This window comes from Homo sapiens, chromosome 6, assembly GCF_000001405.40.
Source record: "Homo sapiens chromosome 6, GRCh38.p14 Primary Assembly".
NCBI classification, from domain to species: domain Eukaryota; kingdom Metazoa; phylum Chordata; class Mammalia; order Primates; family Hominidae; genus Homo; species Homo sapiens.
Genome location: NC_000006.12, coordinates 77241299 through 77260211, shown reverse-complemented (window position 1 = coordinate 77260211; position 18913 = coordinate 77241299). Strand labels below are relative to the sequence as shown.

Here is an 18913-nt window from a genome sequence, read left to right as displayed (position 1 = left end):
CTTCCAAAGTATGGTTTTTATCATTTTCTTCAGTTCTGTGAGGCTCTGGAGTAAGCCTGTGGATTATGATCATATGGGTTATGCACTGCCCAACTGCAGAGGGTACGAGCCTCGGGCAAAGGCAGCCTTGACCCTCACATCCTATCAGCACACTACTTTTGGGTGAAATGAGTTGCAATCAGTATCTATTGCTTGCAATTAACGAACCCTAATTAGTGTTCCAGGATACAGTGGCTGTTATGGACTAAAGTGTGTATGCATTAGAGCCTTAATCCCCAAAGTGATTGTACGTGCAGAATCAGCCTTCAGGGAGGTAATAAAGGTTACATGAGGTCATAAGGGTGGGGCTGCAATCCAATAGGACTCTTGTTCTCATAAGAAGAGGAAGAGACACTAGAAATATCTCTCTCTCTCTGTCTTTTGTACACACTCAGAGGAAAGGCCATATGAGGACATAGCAAGAAGGTGGCTGTATACAAGTCAGGAAAAGAGGCTTCAACAGAAACCCACTCTGACCAAGCATCTTGAACTTGGACTTCATAATTGTGAGAAAACAAACTTCTGCTGTTTAAACCACCTGGTCTATGGTATTTTGTTACGGTATTCCCAGAAACCCATGAATGTTGGCACCACAAAGTGTCGTGCTACTGTAATAAATGTCTAAAAATGTGGAGTGACTTTGGAACTAGGTGCTGAGTGCAGGCTGAAAGAGTTTTGAGGTGCATGCTAGAAAAAGCCTATGGTGCTTTGAAGGGACTCTTCGCAGAAATATAAATGCTAAGGGTGATTCTAGTGAGGTCTCAGGTGGAAGTGAAAAACATGTTATTAGAAGCTGAAGGAAAGACATTCTTTTCATAAAGTGGCAAAGAATTTGGATGAACTATTTGTTTTTTATTATTTTGGAGAAGAGAGAACATGTTTTCTAGACGTGTTGATAATCTGGCCTTATTTCTCTTTAGTTCTTAGAGTAAAATGCAAAAGGAGAGAGAGAAACTGAAAAATTTCTTGGCTGGGTGTGGTGGCTCACTCTTGTACTCTCAGGACTTTGGGAGGCCAAGGCAAGATCGCTTGAACTCGGGAGTTTGAGACCAGCCTGGGCAGCATAGCAAGGCCCTGTATCTACAGAAAAATAGAAAAAAAATAGTCAGGCCTGTTGGTAGCATGCACTTGTGGTCCCAGCTACTTGGGAGGCTGAGGCAGAAGGATCACTTGAGCCCAGAAGATCGAGATTGCAGTGAGCTGAGCCACTGTACTCCAGCTTGGGTGACAAACCAAGATGCTGTCTCAATTTAGAAGAAAGAAAAAGAGAGATAGAAAGAAGGAAGGAAGGAAAGAGAGAGAGAAAGAAAGAGAGAGAGGAAGGAAGGAAGGAAAGAGAGAGAAAGAAAGAGAGGAAGGAAGGAAGGAGAAAGAAAAGAGAAAGAAAGAAAGAGAAAGAAAGAAAGGAAGAAAATGAAAAAAAAAACTGTTAAAGTGGAACCAGAACTTGAAGATTTGGAAAATCTATCATTCTATTCATATTGCAAAAAAATGAGAAAATGTTTTCCAGAGAGAACATCAAAGATGGCTGGACAATCAGTCCATAGGGAGATTATCCATGGAGTTAATCAGCCATCTAAGCAGCACCAGCAATAGAGGTGGAATTACATTAGCTGAGACACTGCCAGTTTGGACTGAAGGGAAGATAAAAAGAAGAAATAAAAAAAGGCTTTCAGGCTTCTGAGATTCCACAGGACTGGACAATAGAGCTATTGGGCTCCAACATGCTTTATCGTTCAAGAAAACGGAATCCCCAGTGGTTATCAGAGCTACCACTCTCACTACACTCCTGGAGGGCAAGTCTCAGTTTCATAGGGTGGGACCTCCTACTTGGTTTTAGCAGGCCAAGCCATATCTGCCCAGTGCCCCAAGAGCAAGACCTCTGCCCAGAACTGAGGGGGCAAGGCTGCAGTCTTGGGCTGTGGGAGGGATGTTGCCACTGGACTGGGCCTGCAGGAAGAGCATCAAGACAAAGAGGAATATTATTGAGCTTTAAGATCTAGAATAATTTGCCTTTCTAGATTTTGGACTTTCTTGGGACCGGTCATCCCTTTCTTTTTTCTGATTTCTTCCTTTTGAAATGACAATATATATCCTACACCTGTCCTGTCACCGTATTTTGGAATCATATAATGTGTCTAGTTAAAAAGTTTAGAGATAGAAACTGTAATTTTGCCTCAGAATGAATCATACCTAAAGTCTCACCCATACCTGACTTAGATAATATTTAGATGAGACTTTGAACTTGGAATTGATGCTTGAATTCGTTAAGGCTTTTGTGGCTGTTGGTATGAGGGGAATGTATTTTGCATGTGGTAAGGACATGAATTAGGGTAGGAAGCAGAGAAATGTGCTATGAACTGAGTGGTGCCCCCTCCCCATTCATATATTAAAGCCTGAACCCCCAGTGTGACTGCATTTGGAGGTAGAGCCTTTAAGAAGGTAATTAAGATTAAATAAGGTCATTAGAGTAGCACCCTAATCCAACAGGACTGGTGTCTTTTTTTTTTTTTTATACTTTAAGTTCTAGGGTACATGTGCACAATGTGCAGGTTTGTTACATATGTATACATGCACCATGTCAGTGTGCTGCACCCATTAACTCGTCATTTACATTAGGTATATCTCCTAATGCTATCCCTCCCTGCTCCCCCCACCCCATGACAGGCCCCAGTGTGTGATGTTCCCCACCCTGTGTCCAAGTGTTTACATTGTTCAATTCCCACCTATGAATGAGAACATGCAGTGTTTGGCTTTTTGTCCTTGCGATAGTTTGCTGAGAATGATGGTTTCCAGCTTCATCCATGTCCCTACAAAGGACATGAACTCATCCTTTTTTATGGCTGCATAGTATTCCATGGTGTATATGTGCCACATTTTCTTAATCCAGTCTATCATTGATGGACATTTGGGTTGGTTCCAAGTCTTTGCTATTATGAATAGTGCTGCAATAAACATACGTGTGCATGTGTCTTTATAGCAGCTTGATTTATAATCCTTTGGGTATATACCCAGTAGTGGGATGGCTGGGTCAAATGGTACTTCTAGTTCTAGATCCTTGAGGCATCACCACACTGTCTTCCACAATGGTTGAACTAGTTTACAGTCCCACTGACAGTGTAAAAGTGTTCCTATTTCTCCACATCCTCTCCAGCACCAGTACCTGTTGTTTCCTGACTTTTTAATGATCGCCATTCTAACTGGTTTGAGATGGTATCTCATTGTGGTTTTGATTTGCATTTCTCTGATGGCCAGTGATGATGAGCATTTTTTCATGTGTCTGTTGGCTGCATAAATGTCTTCTTTTGAGAAGTCTCTGTTCGTATCCTTCACCCACGTGTTGATGGGGTTGTTTGTTTTTTTCTTGTAAATTTGTTTGAGTCCTTTGTAGATTCTGGATATTAGCCCTTTGTCAGATGAGTAGATTGCAAACATTTTCTCCCATTCTGTAGGCTGCCTGTTCACTCTGATGGTAGTTTCTTTTGCTGTGCAGAAGCTCTTCAGTTTAATTAGATCCCATTTGTCAATTTTGGCTTTTGTTGCCATTGCTTTTCGTGTTTTAGACATGAAGTCCTTGCCCATGCCTATGTCCTGAATGGTATTGCCTAGGTTTTCTTCTAGGGTTTTTATGGTTTTAGGTCTAACGTTTAAGTCTCTAATCGAACTTGAATTAATTTTTGTATAGGGTGTAAGGAAGGGATCCAGTTTCAGCTTTCTACGTATGGCTAGCCAGTTTTCCCAGCACCATTTATTAAATAGGGAATCCTTTCCCCATTTCTTGTTTTTGTCAGGTTTGTCAAAGATCAGATGGTTGTAGATGTATGGTATTATTTCTGAGGTCTGTGTTCTGTTCCATTGGTCTATATCTCTGCTTTGGTACCAGTACCATGCTGTTTTGGTTACTGTAGCCTTGTAATATAGTTTGAAGTCAGGTAGCATGATGTCTCCAGCTTTGTTCTTTTGGCTTAGGATTGTCTTGGCAATGCGGGCCCTTTTTTGGTTCCATATGAACTTTAAAGTAGTTTTTTCCAATTCTGTGAAGAAAGTCATTGGTAGCTTGATGGGGGTGGCATTGAATCTATAAATTACCTTGGGCAGTATGGCCATTTTCATGATCTTGATTCTTTCTATCCATGAGCATGGAATGTTCTTCCATTTGTTTGTGTCCTGTTTTATTTCGTTGGGCAGTGGTTTGTAGTTCTCCTTGAAGAGGTCCTTCACATCCCTTGTAAGTTGGATTCCTAAGTATTTTATTCTCTTTGAAGCAATTGTGAATGGGAGTTCACTCATGATTTAGCTCTCTGTTTGTCTGCTGTTGGTATATAAGAATGCTTGTTATTTTTGCACATTGATTTTGTATCCTGAGACTTTGCTGAAGTTGCTTATCAGCTTAAGGAGATTTTGGGCTGAGACTTGGGTGTTCTAAATATGCAATCATGTCATCTGCAAACAGGGACAATTTGACTTCCTCTTTTCCTAATTGATAACCTTCATTTCTTTCTCCTGCCTGATTGCCCTGGCCAGAACTTCCAACACTCTGTTGAATAGGAGTGGTGAGAGAGGGCATCCCTGTCTTGTGCCAGTTTTCAAAGGGAATGCTTCCAGTTTTTGCACATTCAGTGTGATATTGGCTGTGGGTTTGTCATAAATAGCTCTTATTATTTTGAGATACGTCCCATCAATACCTAATTTATTGAGTTTTTAGCATGAAGGGCTGTTGAATTTTGTCAAAGGCCTTTTCTGCATCTATTGAGATAATCCTGTGGTTTTTGTCTTTGGTTCCGTTTATATGCTGGATAAAGTTTATTGATTTGCATATGTTGAACCAGCTTTGCATCCCAGGGATGAAGCCCACTTGATCATGGTAGATAAGCTTTTTGATGTGCTGCTGGATTCGGTTTTCCAGTATTTTATTGAGGATTTTTGCATCGATGTTCCTCAGGGATATTGGTCTAAAATTCTCTTTTTTTTTGGTGTGTCTCTGTCAGGCTTTGGTATCAGGATGATGCTGGCCTCATAAAATGATTTAGGGAGGATTCTCTCTTTTTCTATTGATTGGAATCGTTTTAGAAGGAATGGCACCAGCTCCTCCTTGTATCTCTGATAGAATTCGGCTGTGAATCCATCTGGTCCTGGACTTTTTTTGTTTGGTAGTCTATTAATTATTGCCTCAATTTCAGAGCCTGTTATTGGTCTATTCAGGGATTCAACTTCTTCCTGGTTTAGTCTTGGGAGGGTGTATGTGTCCAGGAATTCATCCATTTCTTCTAGATTTTCTAGTTTATTTGCGTAGAGGTGTTTATAGTATTCTCTGATAGTAGTTTGTATTTCTGTGGGATTGGTGGTGATATCCCCTTTATCATTTATTATTGCATCTATTTGATTCTTCTCTCTTTTCTTCTTTATTAGTCTTGCTAGCGTCTATCAATTTTGTTGATCTTTTCAAAAAACCAGCTCCTGGATTCATTGATTTTTTTGAAGGGTTTTTTGTGTCTCTATCTCCTTCAATTCTGCTCTGATCTTAGTTATTTCTTGCCTTCTGCTAGCTTTTGAATGTGTTTGCTCTTGCTTCTCTAGTTCTTTTAATTGTTATGTTAGGGTGTCAATTTTAGATCTTTCCTGCTTTCTCTTGTGGGCATTTAGTGCTATAAATTTCCCTGTACACACTGCTTTAAATATGTCCCAGAGATGCTGGTATGTTGTGTCTTTGTCCTCATTGGTTTCAAAGAACATCTTTATTTCTGCCTTCATTTTGTTATGTACCCAGTGGTCATTCAGGAGTAAGTTGTTCAGTTTACATGTAGCTGAGCGGTTTTGAGTGAGTTTCTTAATCCTGAGTTCTAGTTTGATTACACTGTGGTCTGAGAGACAGTTTGTTATAATTTCTGTTCTTTTACATTTGCTGAGGAGTGCTTTACTTCCAACTATGTGGTCAATTTTGTAATATGTGTGATGTGGTGCTGAGAAGAATGTATATTCTGTTGATGTGGGGTGGAGAGTTCTGTAGATGTCTATTAGGTCCACTTGGTGCAGAGCTGAGTTCAATTCCTGGATATCCTTGTTAACTTTCTGTGCTGTGGATCTGTCTAATGTTGACAGTGGGGTGTTAAAGTCTCCCATTACTATTGTGTGGGAGTCTAAGTCTCTTGTAGGTCTCTAAGGACTTGCTTTATGAATCTGGGTGCTCCTGTATTGGGTGCAAATATGTTTAGGATAGCTAGCTCTTCTTGTTGAATTGATCCCTTTACCATTATGTAATGGTCTTCTTTGTCTCTTTTGATCTTTGTTGGTTTAAAGTCTGTTTTGTCAGAGACTAGGATTGCAACCCCTGCCTTTTTTTGTTTTCCATTTGCTTGGTAGATCTTCCTCCATCCCTTTATTTTGAGCCTATGTGTGTCTCTCCACGTGAGATGGGTCTCCTGAATACAGCACACTGATGGGTCTTGACTCTTTATCCAATTTGCCAGTCTGTGTCTTTGAATTGGAACATTTAGCCCATTTACATTTAAGGTTAATATTGTTATGTGTGAATTTGATCCTGTCATTATGATGTTCTCTGGTTATTTTGCTCGTTAGTTGATGCAGTTTCTTCCTAGCATTGATGGTCTTTACAATTTGGCATGTTTTTGCAGTGGCTGGTACCGGTTGTTCCTTTCCATGTTTAGTGCTTCCTTCATGAGCTCTTGTAGGGCGGGCCTAGTGGTAGCAAAATCTCTCAGCATTTGCTTGTCTGTAAACTATTTTATTTCTCCTTCACTTGTGAAGCTTAGTTTGGCTGCATATGAAATTCTGGGTTGAAAATTCTTTTCTTGAAGAGTGTTGAATGTTGGCCCCCACTCTCATCTGGCTTGTAGAGTTTCTGCTGAGAGATCCGCTGTTAGTCTGATGGGCTTCCCTTTGTGGGTAACCTGACCTTTCTCTCTGGCTGCCCTTAACATTTTTTCCTTCATTTCAACTTTGGTGAATCTGATAATTTTGTGTCTTGGAGTTGCTCTTCTTGAGGAGTATCTTTGTGGAATTCTCTGTATTTCCTGAATTTGAATGTTGGCCTGCCTTGCTAGGTTGGGGAAGTTCTCCTGGATAATATCCTGCAGAGTGTTTTCCAATTTGGTTCTGTTCTCCCCACCACTTCAGGTATACCAATCAGATGTAGATTTGGTCTTTTCACATAGTCCCATATTTCTTGGAGGCTTTGTTCGTTTCTTTTTACTCTTTTTTCTCTAAACTTCTCTTCTCGCTTCATTTCATTCATTTGATCTTCAATCACTCATACCCTTTCTTCCAGTTGATTGAATCAGCTACTGAGGCTTGTGCATTCATCACGTAGTTCTGATGGCATGTTTTTCAGCTCCATCAGGTCATTTAAGGACTTCTCTACATTGGTTATTTTAGTTAGCCATTCATCTAATCTTTGTTCAAGGTTTTTAGCTTCTTTGCGATGGGTTCGAACTTCCTCCTTTACCTTGGAGAAGTTTGATCTTCTGAAGCCTTCTACTCTCAACTCTTCAAAGTCATTCTTTGTCCAGTTTTGTTCCATTGCTGGTGAGGAGCTGCATTCCTTCAGAGGGGGAGAGGCGCTCTGATTTTTAGAGTTTTCAGCTTTTCTGCTCCATTTTTTCCCCATCTTTGTGGTTTTATCTACCTTTGGTCTTTGATGATGGTGATGTACAGATGGGTTTTTGGTGTGGATGTCCTTTCTGTTTGTTAGTTTTCCTTCTAACAGTCAAGACCCTCAGCTGCAGGTCTGTTGGAGTTTGCCGGAGGTCCACTCCCGACCCTGTTTGCCTGGGTATCAGCAGCAGAGGCTGCAGAACAGTGAATATTGCTGAACATCAAATGTTGCTGCCTGATTGTTCCTCTGGAAGCTTCATCTCAGAGGGGTACCCTGCCATGTGAGGTGTCAGTCTGCCCCTACTGGAGGTTGCCTCCCAGTTAGGCTACTCGGGAGTCAGGGACCCACTTGAGGAGGCAGTCTGTCCATTCTCAGATCTCATACTTCGTGCTGGGAGAACCACTACTCACTTCAAAGCTGTCAGACAGGGACATTTAAGTCTGCAGAGGTTTCTGCTGCCTTTTGTTTAGCTATGCCCTGCCCCCAGAGGTGGAGTCTACATAGCCAGGCAGGCCTCCTTGAGCTGTGGTGGGCTCCACCCATTTCAAGCTTCCTGGCTGCTTTGTTTACCTACTCACGCCTCAGCAATGGCAGGGGCACCTCCCCCAGCCTTGCTGCCACCTTGCAGATCGATCTCAGACTGCTGTACTAGCAATCAGCGAGGCTCTGAGGGTGTGGGATGCTCTGAGCCTGGCGCGATATATAACCTCCTGGTGTGCTGTTTGCTAAGACTGTTGGAAAAGCGCAGTATTATGGTGGGAGTGACCTGATTTTCCAGGTGCCATCTGTCACTGCTTCCCTTGGCTAGGAAAGGGAATTCCCTGACCCCTTGCGCTTCCCGGGTGAGGCAATTCCTTGCCCTACATGGGCTCACACTCAGTGGGCTGCACCCACTGTCCTGCCCCCACTGTCTGACAAGCCCCAGTGAGATGAACCCGGTACCTCAGTTGGAAATGCAGAAATCACCCATCTTGCGTGTCGCTCATGCTGGGAGCTGTAGACTGGAGCTGTTCCTATTAGGCCATCTTCTACACTCGTGTCTTTTTAAGAAGAGAAAAAAGACACCAGAAAGACTCTCTCTCTGTCCACATACACACAGAGTAAAGGCCATATGAGAACACAGCAAGAAGGTGGCTGTGTACAAGTCAGGAGAGGCTTCACAAGAAACTAGCCTTGATGTTACCTTAATTTTGAATTTGTGGCCTCTAGAACTATGAGAAAATAAATTTCTTTTGTTCAAGTCACCCATTCTATGGTATTTATTAGTTAATACCATTAATTAATATTTATGGCAGCCCTAGAAAACTAATACGATTGCCTTGAGCTCTTTCAGGGTTTGAAGGGGTATAACTCTGTCCCCTCTTCTGTCTGTCCAGAGGCTAATAAAGGCTATTTTGGTTATCCATCCCAGAGTTCATTATTGTATGTTAAGCAGTATGCAAAGCAAGGAGGAGTCAATGGTGAACAAGATAGACCCATGTCTTACCCTCATAGAGCTGAGTTAATATATATTAAATTAATTTTATGCACAGCCCCTTTACTTCCTTAAGATTTATGCTAAAACATTAATTCGTCAGAGGTCTTCCCTGACCACCTAGCCAAAGAAACAGTCCTTTAAGTGTGAGCTCTCCCAGTCCTGCTATGGTATCTTTCTTCTACAACATTTGTCAGTTGACATGTTATATATGCATTTTCTAATCTGCTCATCTTATGTTTTCTCACTAAAAGGTAATCTTGAGTCCATGGTCCTATTTTTTCCACTACCGCATCTCTTTCACTTAATGCCAGACATCTGAAGATACTTGACATATTTTTATTAATTTGCATTAATTAGAGAGTAAATAAAGTACATAGCAAAGTAAAACTGAATTAATGTCAACTCAAAATTTCTTTAACTGCTTTCTGTACGCTTTTCCACTGCATGAATTGCTTCTTTCTTCCTTGGCGTGTTTCTTTTCAGCATAATTTTTTCCCCTCGGCTTTTTAACTCTGTCCTTACCACTCGCTCTCTTTTTTTCTGTCTTCAAACCTGCCTCTTCTGCTCACTCTCCCACTCATATCCATTTTTAGTTACCATCTTCATAACTTATCATAAGATACATTATATCCTATATATTCAATACTTAAGTGGTGTATGTATCCTTGATACTTACAAAGCAGATTAAGTCATTTAGTTTATATTAAAAAATGTGTAGGCAAAGTTGTAGTTGATCTACGTCATAATCAAATTGACTTGTGAATCATGAATTTAAAAATAATATTTCTCAGCCCTATAACAACTCCAGTGCTTCATTCTGAAGCCATGATATTCCCACAAACATGTATATCTTTTTAAAATTAAATTTAGTTATCAACATAAAAATTGCTTAATGCCATACGTTAAAAACTCTAAAAACTTGGATTTCTGGCTCTTCTTAGGAAATAATATCCTGAAGAGGTCCCTGTTGCTGGCTTATTATCAGCTGCCCTGTGTGCTCTAGAGATTTTCCCTTCTTTTCCCTCATTGTTCCTTTTCAGATTCCCTGCATCTGGCTGCATTTGCCCATGTGCACCTCATGGTTGACCCCTGGAGGTATGTGACATCGTAACACTGATTTACCCAAAGCAATATTTTTGTAGGATATATTAGATCTTCTTAAGTAGAGCTACTGCATTGAGTTGAACCTTTCTAGAATATCTGCATGGGGTAAAAGGGATTTCAAATTTAGATCAATTGGGACAAGTATTATAGTTAATTATCTATTCATCAAACTTACGGTTTTCCTTATGACTCACCTCCTGTCTGTCCTCTAAATGGCTACAGCAAAGGTTAAAAACATCTCTGGCTAAGGAAACAATACTTCTTTAGGATATGGACCCAGCATTATCAGTCTTCAAAAAGGGCTCTTGTCAAAAATCTCAATCTTACAGCTAATTCTGCTCTTCCTTTCCATCCCAAGTTCTAAGAGCTAGGATCTTTCATTGTGGCTGTGGCCAAGACCACAGCTTGCAGCTCCATTTAAGTAACAAGCCTTTCTCTTCCTGGCCTTTTCAGTAATTCCAGTATTGATGGCCCATCTGTTCTTACCAATTCTTATAGGGACCAGATTATTGCCTTTGAACTCATATACATACAGTTTATATACTCTTCCTTTATGGGATTTAGGAATCCCTAATTATCTAAGTTCTTTAACAATTTGAGAAGTAGATGTATAGTGCCAACTGAAAGCAAAGCACAGCATTAGTCCTATTTCGAGTAAAGTTGGACTGGAGACCATGTTTATGGTTTTACTGGAAAGAAGACCTCTCCCTATTCTCAAAGCTATATCTTGAGACATTTGTTCATAAAGTTGGCACACAGACATGGCATTTTTACTTGGAGATGCCACAAAACCTCATCAGAAATTTAATTATCAAAGGATGAAGAATTCCAGAAACAAAGGAGGAAGACAGCCAGGTAGTCCTCCAGGTAGACCTTTAGACAGTCTGTTTTACTACCTGGGTCAGAGAGATAAAAACCCTCATTAGTAATTAGAATAGCAATAGAGAGATAAGCCCAGGCCCTCTTCTTTTGTTTCATGCTGTGACACCACTCAGGGTTAATGTGATTGCATATATCGGGCTTTGCTTAGGTCTAATTAGAATGTCATTCCTCTTCTTTACATTTCAGTAAGCAAGGGAAAAAAAATGCTAGAGAGGAGGCAGTGACGTTTAGCAGTGTCCTCTCTTGGAGATAGAGTGATTGTCCACAATTGCCAATATAAGAACAGGAGAATGTTTCCTCTGATAGTCATAACAATTTCTGGCATCAACATAATTACAATGTTTGTTTTACAAGTGAGGAAACTAAGACTTAGAGATATTAAGTAAATTGCAGAAGGGCAGATGTATGTCTAGTAAGTGGACAATCTGAACTTGAACTTGACCTCTATACCTCGGACTACCCTGAATAGGAACACCTGCCTGGCTAGCATTTCATCTATACTGCCGTGAATGGAACCAGAGTTCTTATCTCATTCTAGTTTGTAGGTCTGTTCTGGAGGCTTTTCCCCATCTCTCATTATGTCCACACATGGCAGCTAAGCCCTAATTCTGACTATTTCAATGAATTACAAATAATCTGCTTTGGGTAAAATGTGGGGTATTAGGAAGAAACATGAGAAGAATAACTCTAATATTTTTGTTTAACTTTGTAGGGTCCAAAATGAGAATAATATTCTTAAAGTCATTAAATGTCTATTTTGGGGAGTGGCATCATGCAGAGAGTAGGTACTGTACTTTCTTAACAAGAGAAGCAGATGTCCTGGCACAGATAAATTAATTTACTTGCTCATTCAGAGCAAAGACACTTTTGTAGATAATAAAAAAGATTTAATTTATTTCATTATTTGAGAAAATACCCGACTTGTAATCTGTAAGCAAAAGTGCCCCGTGGCTTTTAGAGAGATCTATGATAGATCTACCTAATAGGAAATAGTGTAGTGAAATTAAATTTAGAGGATAAATTTTAAAGCTAGAATGTAAGTCCCCTGAGTGACTTTTGCCCATCAAATTCATAGCTATAACCCTAGCACTTAGAACACTGGATCATAATATGTTAGACATATTCTTAATAAGTATTTCTCTTCTTAATAAATATTTGTTGAATGAATGAGTAAAATTTTGAAAGAATATTAAGTTATAGGAAGTTGGGGCATCAGAGTATGGAGATGAATTATCAGTACTGTGATAGGACGTTGTTGTTCAGAATTTACTTCATTTTGGTGCAACTCAGTTAGCCATGAGTGTACCTCTGAATTAGCTGAAGTTTGCATTTGGCCCCCAATGCACTTGAGCCCCTTGGAGACACCCCCTTTTTACTCAGTTTAAGTGTCCATTTCCCTATGGTCCTTCTTTTCATTTTCACTTTATGGCTCCCAAATCAAGCACATGCTTTTTTCTTTTTAATTTTTGTGATTATACGTATCAGGTGATGCACATACACCCTGATTTTAAATTTTTTTATGAGGATGAACATATAAACTCAATACAATAAAAAGAAAAATGAAAAAGGAGTCCCACTGGTTTAATTTCAGGTAAGTGACAGCAAGTATAGAATTTACTAATGAAGCCGTCAGATCCTTGCTGGCCCCTCTGTCATGGCGGTGCAGGCTGCGCCTGTTCAATCTGCATTTCTGACCAGTCCGGGAAACTGAGTTTGTGACTACACAGACACATTTATTAATATTACTTTAAAGTGTTTAGTGTTACTCTTAGGGTGTCTTTCTGGGTAATAAGAGCTACTCAATATGATTATATTTTGGACTTAAAGGAATAGTTTTTAAATGGAGCTGCTTCAATTACAGATTTATTAAGGTTCAAAGTAGAACCTTGAGAAAGAAGAGTATAGAGTCATCAGGATGTCAAGTTCGTTCACTTCACGATAAATCTATGTAACATAATGAAAAGATTCATCATGTGGAGGTAGTAGCAGAGGTAATCATACAAAGACAAGCCACAGAGCAGAGGGAATCTAAATGTATTATGTATGTAATTTAACGAATCTGCCCGTGAATCTAATTCCTTCAGGGATTTATAAACACTAGTGCATAACCTAGGGAAAGGGGAGTCATTGCTTTAAATGTCAGCCTTGTATTCACTTACTGAGGGAAGAAAATGAAAAGTTTATGGAGAAATAAAAGAAATGATAATATGTTCCTCAGGTTATTTGGCTTATCCTAAATTTAGACTGAGCAATTTCCAAATTGCGAAAATGTAGAGTATGGAAACAATAGGAATATTCCCCTTGGTATGTCATATTATATGTGAGACTTTAATTATTTTAAGTCAATACCTAGTGTATCTGTGGAAACTGCTTTCTTATTTTCTATAATACAAATTATAGTAGCAGGCGTATGAATATTGCTGCTCAATAAATATTACTTTGTGGCAAGAATCAATAATTTCTCCCCACCCTTCTATAATTTCTCTATTTAGTGTCATATTGGAACATCAACTATAATGATACAGGTAAAATATATATAGAAATACAAAATAGTACTTACTATTCTCTCTCTAGAAATTTTTATCTACTTTCACATTTTCAGTTTGTCAGACTCATAGTCTGACAAGACTATGTCAAAGTATTCTGCAACAGGAGCATAGAATAGCAGGGAGTCATTCTTATTATTAAATTGTATTTTTTTGTTGTTGTTATTGTCTATTTGGGTAGGGGAACGAGAGAAAATAGTTTGTTCGGGATTAACGTTGTTCTATTAAGCAGTTAGTATTTTATTCTGTGCTAAGGCCCATGCATTAGGCTGGAGACTGCAGGGAGAATTCTGTACTATCCTTCCCAATGATGCCTGTCTTCAAGTTAAATGTACCTCTGGTGCAGCATCAGAAGCATCATCCTAATATTTATATCAGCTTATACCAGATTGAAGCCTTACAGATGCGCCCTCTGGTGTGTTGGTCAGGTCCTGAGGAACGACCCCTCATCTCCACACTCAGCCTCCTCCAGAAAGAGCTCCTTGCATTGGCTCTGGGACTTGTTTCCATAACCTTTTATGGTGACCGATTCCTAGACTCTATTCTGTTATCTCAAGCAGATGGACACCAATATTACTTGATGGGAGAAGGCACAAAGCAACAGTGTCAAGAAATACAAATTAAGAGAATTAGGAACGTTCCCATTCGTATAAGAGCTCCTAATGGGAAGGAAGGCAGTGGAGTTTAGTGGGGAACAATGCTGGAGCAAAACCACTTAGGTCTGGATTCTTCCTCAACCACTGATTAGCCCCGGTGTCCTTGGGCAACTTAGTTCAGCCTCTTTAAGCCTCACTTTCCCTACAATGACTCCTACTTCAAAAAGTAGAAGTTGTGAACTTCAAGAGAGATAATATATGCAAAGTTGTAATACACAGTAAAAACTCATATTAATATTATAATATCTTGTTTTTCATGAAAACCAGCTTAACCATTGCTGGCGTAGTAAATTTTCATGTGTCTCGGCATAATTCTTGATAAGTTTTAATAACTATGTCTTTCAATTATCAAAACAAATTGGAAATTTTTAACCTTACAAATAGCTCAAAATATGATTTTCAGCTAAAATTATACTATACACAAGCTGGATCTAAAATTTGTTGGGTGCTTCTAGTTGTTACATAAAACTTGAACAAAAGAGAAGTCTGAATAATGCTACAGCTTCCTTTTATCCTCTTCCCGCTCAGAGACTTTTAGTCTTCAAAAAGATTCTTTGATAAGTCAGAGTACAGTCTGTGGTTTCTCATTTTCCTGAAGAAATGAGTAAGTTCTATGTTTTTAATTGTTATTTAAGACCTTAGCTTCTCTCTTGGGAGGATGAAGACAAGTACGGCATGTGAGCCACACTTTCCTCATTCATAAGCACAGTTCAGGGAGAAAAAAAAAGTCCTTGAGTACTTCACAGGCTTAGTAGCTCTGCAGCTCTGGAAGTACAATGTACTTCCAAGAAGGCTTATACAGTGGCCTGTTAGCAAGACCTGAGAGCATGACTCTTTCTTCTGGCTGTATTTAAAATTATAAAGAACAGAAAGGGTATTGGTTTTTCTCAGTGCGGCAGAGACATTGTGCCTATTCCTTGTACAAAGCTTGATTTGGTCATGTTGAAAAACAGAAAGAAAAAAAAAAGAAGGAAGGAAGGAAACTTATTTTAGGTAAGGAATGTGATATGGCTTGGATTTGTGTCCCCACCCAAATCTCATGTCAAGTTGTAATCCCCAGTGTTTGAGGTGGGGCCTGGTGAGAGGTGATTGGATCATGGAGGTAAATTTTCCCCTTTGGTGCTGTTCTCATGATAGAGTTCTCATGAGATCTGGTTGTTTAAAAGTGTGTAGCACCTCCCCTCTTGCTGGCTTCCCCCTGCTTCAGCCATGTGAGATGTGCCTTCTTCCCCTTTGCCTTCTGCCATGATTTAAAGTTTCCTGAGGCCTCCTCAGCCATGCTTCCTATAAAGCTTGGAGAACTACCAGTCTCAGGTAGTTCTTTATAGCAGTGCGAGAATGGACTAACACAGAATGGTTCCTTTCCATCTTTTAAGATCACTAAGAATTCTGTAGCTATACTCACACAAATTTAATGCCTTGTTCCTATCCTACTGTGTTCTTGCTGCAATACCTCCAACCCTGCCCCCACTTTGAGAATAAATTTGAAAGAAGACTAATTTTTCACTTTCCTATTTCTTCACAATATGTTCACCCCACTTGGAATTCCCTCTTCCATTTCTCTCCATCCATCCTTGTTCAAGTATCTAACCTTCTTCTCAAACCTACCCTAAACATTGTAAATCCAAATAAGCTCTTCTTTATCTGTAAACTGATACTTGAGTTACTTGCGCCTCTCATTTGACACTTAATCATGTACTGCCTCAAGGGACAGGTCTGAGGTTGTTGTTTTGCAATGCTATTAAATTGCATAGAGTGAAATCTTTTCTTCTAATCCAGATTGTAGGTTTCAGGGTACCATTTATTCTGCTTTATACAAGGAAGTTTCTCAGCATTTCTTTTTCCTTTTGAAATGGACGCTTATTATTTTATTCTGAAATTTCTTTTTATAAACTGCATCTTTATTGTCTGCTTGTCAAAGAGTCAAGAAGAATAAGACAGATACTCTAATTTGTTGCTTAATTTGCTTCTACAGTGTCCATATAAAAGCTGACATCCCCTAGAATCCTGACACTATTGGGAATCTGCGAAATCACTTTTTGCTTCATCTTTAGTTCTGTATTGACTCATATGCTCAGAGTACATGTATGTCTCTTTTTAATAAAGATGTGGTATTTACCCTAAAATTTATAAGAAGATGTTAGAGATCAAAACAGAATCACATTAATTAACTAATAGGGCTTTGGGATAATGAAAATTAAAGTGAGTCTGTAAGATTTTTTTTTTTTTTGAGACAGAGTCTTATTCTGTCACCCAGGCTGGAGTGCAGTGGCACGATCTTGGCTCACTGCAACCTCCGTCTCCCGGGTTCACGCGATTCTCCGGCCTCAGCCTCCTGAGTAGCTGGGATTACAGGCGCACACCACCACACTTGGCTAATTTTTTGCGTATTTTTAGTAGAGACAGGGTTTCACTATGTTGGCCAGACTGGTCTCGAACTCCTGACCTCGTGATCTGCCCGCCTCGGCTTCCCAAAGTGCTGGGATTACAGGCGTGAGCCACTGCGCCTGGCCTGTAAGATTTTAATCAATGTAATTAATTCATTGATCTGAAAGGCAGTGGTCCCTATTAGTGTATCTCAAAATAGTTCTTGTTAAAATCATTGTCTTTGGATGTATTGATGTCTTATAACTATTTGAAAAAGGATATATGATTAGAATATTGAGCTTAATATAATTACTAGGCAGGCATGTGTCTGGAGTCTGCCTGCTCACCCACCCCTCCAAAAAAGCATGGAAGCAGTTGGAATGTGGCTGAAGTCGTGAAGGGTTCCAGGTAAGATTGTCCCTCTCACTTCAACACCCGGAGTGTGTACCACATGGTCCAAGCAACCCTGTCTCTCCACCTTCACCTTGCCTTGCCAAAACTGCCTTGAGCCAAAAGGGTAAATCTCATGCCCTTAGTTCATGTTTATGTCAGTATTCAAAAAGTGCAGCAGGTCGTCCCTTCCCTCACAGGGCATCTCCTCCCAATGTAGCTCAATGGCCTGTGGTTCACCGTCACTCTCCCTGTCCCTTCTTTCCTTAATTTTTGTCCATAGCTCTTATTGCCAGCTGAAATACTTTATGTTTTACTAATTATCTGTCTCCCCGACTCAGATGAATGCTCTGTGAGGGCAGGTTTACATGTGCATGTGTGTACAAATTGTTTCCATATCTCCAGTGTTTAGAATAGTGCCAGCACATAGCAGGCACTGAATAGGTACTTACGGAATAAATGCGTGAACACACACACGAAAGTCCTCCTGGTCTACAAAGGAGGCCAGGCTTGCAGAGGCAAGCCATGACTGGGCAGTCGCTGAAAAAGTTCTACTTAGTTACAGCTGCTTGTTTGCAGCTGCTACCACTTGGCTATGCCTTAAAATGTTTGTGAATGTTTTCAAAGCCATTTTGAAATATTTAAACTTCAAGGGCTCTATGCTAAGGGTTAATCCAAAAGAAGGGTAAACTTTAATATCCATAAATGCTTGCTGAAATCTCATTGAAAATAACAAGCCATTCATTCATTCATCTGTTTATCTGTCTGTTTCTCTATTTAACAAATTTTCCCCTTCCACATATTATGGGCTAGAAAATGTGTTAGATGCCAAGAGTATAATGGTGAGCAAAATCGTCAGTCCTTGTTCTGAAGGAGCGTTTATAGCTAGTGGAAATGACATAAATTTTTAATATCAATACAATAACTCTGTAGGTTGAATTGGATATGATTACTTGTATCATATTTTATCTACTGGTGATAAAAGGATTGTGTATTGTCATATTATTATCCTCCTCCCCCTCTCTAGCCACCCTACCTTACCTCCACTCCAGACCTTTTCCTCATTAAGTTCTATGCCTGGAATGCCCTGTATTCCCTCAACTCCCTTCCTGAATGAGGCTCATTTTCTCTTGTCTGCTGCTATCTGCATATCTTTATCATAAATCACCACATTGTTCTGTAATTTTCTGCGTATTTATTAGCCTTCTCCCTTTCAGTACCAGCTATTCAAAATAAAGTGTGTTCTTTAGTAATTACTGAATCTCTGACACTGAAAACACTCTCTGACAATACATGTATGTGAAACAATGCTTGAATAGATGATACAATTTTAGCACTCTATAAAATTATAGAAAAAGTTGAAATTTGATATGGTCATTCTTTAATATTTTAATCATATTCAGTAAATACAAATTTAATCTGCGAAGTGAACTTTTATCTTCCGAGTTTTCTTATAATTGTTGCCCTCACTTATATATGAGAAATTTGAGCTTCTCTGCCCCAGAGGTTGATGCCTCTAATTTGTAAGTGATAGGGAGAAAAAAGATACCCTGAAAATCTGTATCCCCTTAATGCAATATATCTACCCCCTTAATGTACTCTAAATCTCTATTTCTGCAAATTAATTTAATTTCTATAGAGCCTGTTAGAATTTACATTACCAGTAATATGGGGATAATATTATTCTCATTATGATTGATCCCCTTTAGGTTTACTAAATTATTTTTGTTGGGATTTCTATTTTGTTTGATTTAGGATACAGTCAATTGTGTAGTTTAAAAAATATTTACTTAGGGTTTAATATACAACAGTCACTGTGCTAGGGCCATAGTGAGAAATA

The 18913-nt window shown here is 39.4% G+C and overlaps 1 long non-coding RNA gene across 5 annotated transcripts in view; it reads left to right on the top strand.

Annotated features, from left to right (window-relative positions):
* The window catches only part of LOC101928570 (uncharacterized), a 248816-nt gene that overhangs the window by 57268 nt on the left and 172635 nt on the right, over positions 1 to 18913 (top strand). The window contains exon 4 of one of the 5 annotated variants that reach the window (XR_241864.5): positions 435 to 545. The exons of the other annotated variants lie outside the window; for them this stretch is intronic. This is a non-coding gene — a long non-coding RNA (uncharacterized LOC101928570). The remainder of the gene's footprint in view (positions 1 to 434; positions 546 to 18913) is intronic. 5 annotated transcript variants of the gene reach the window in all.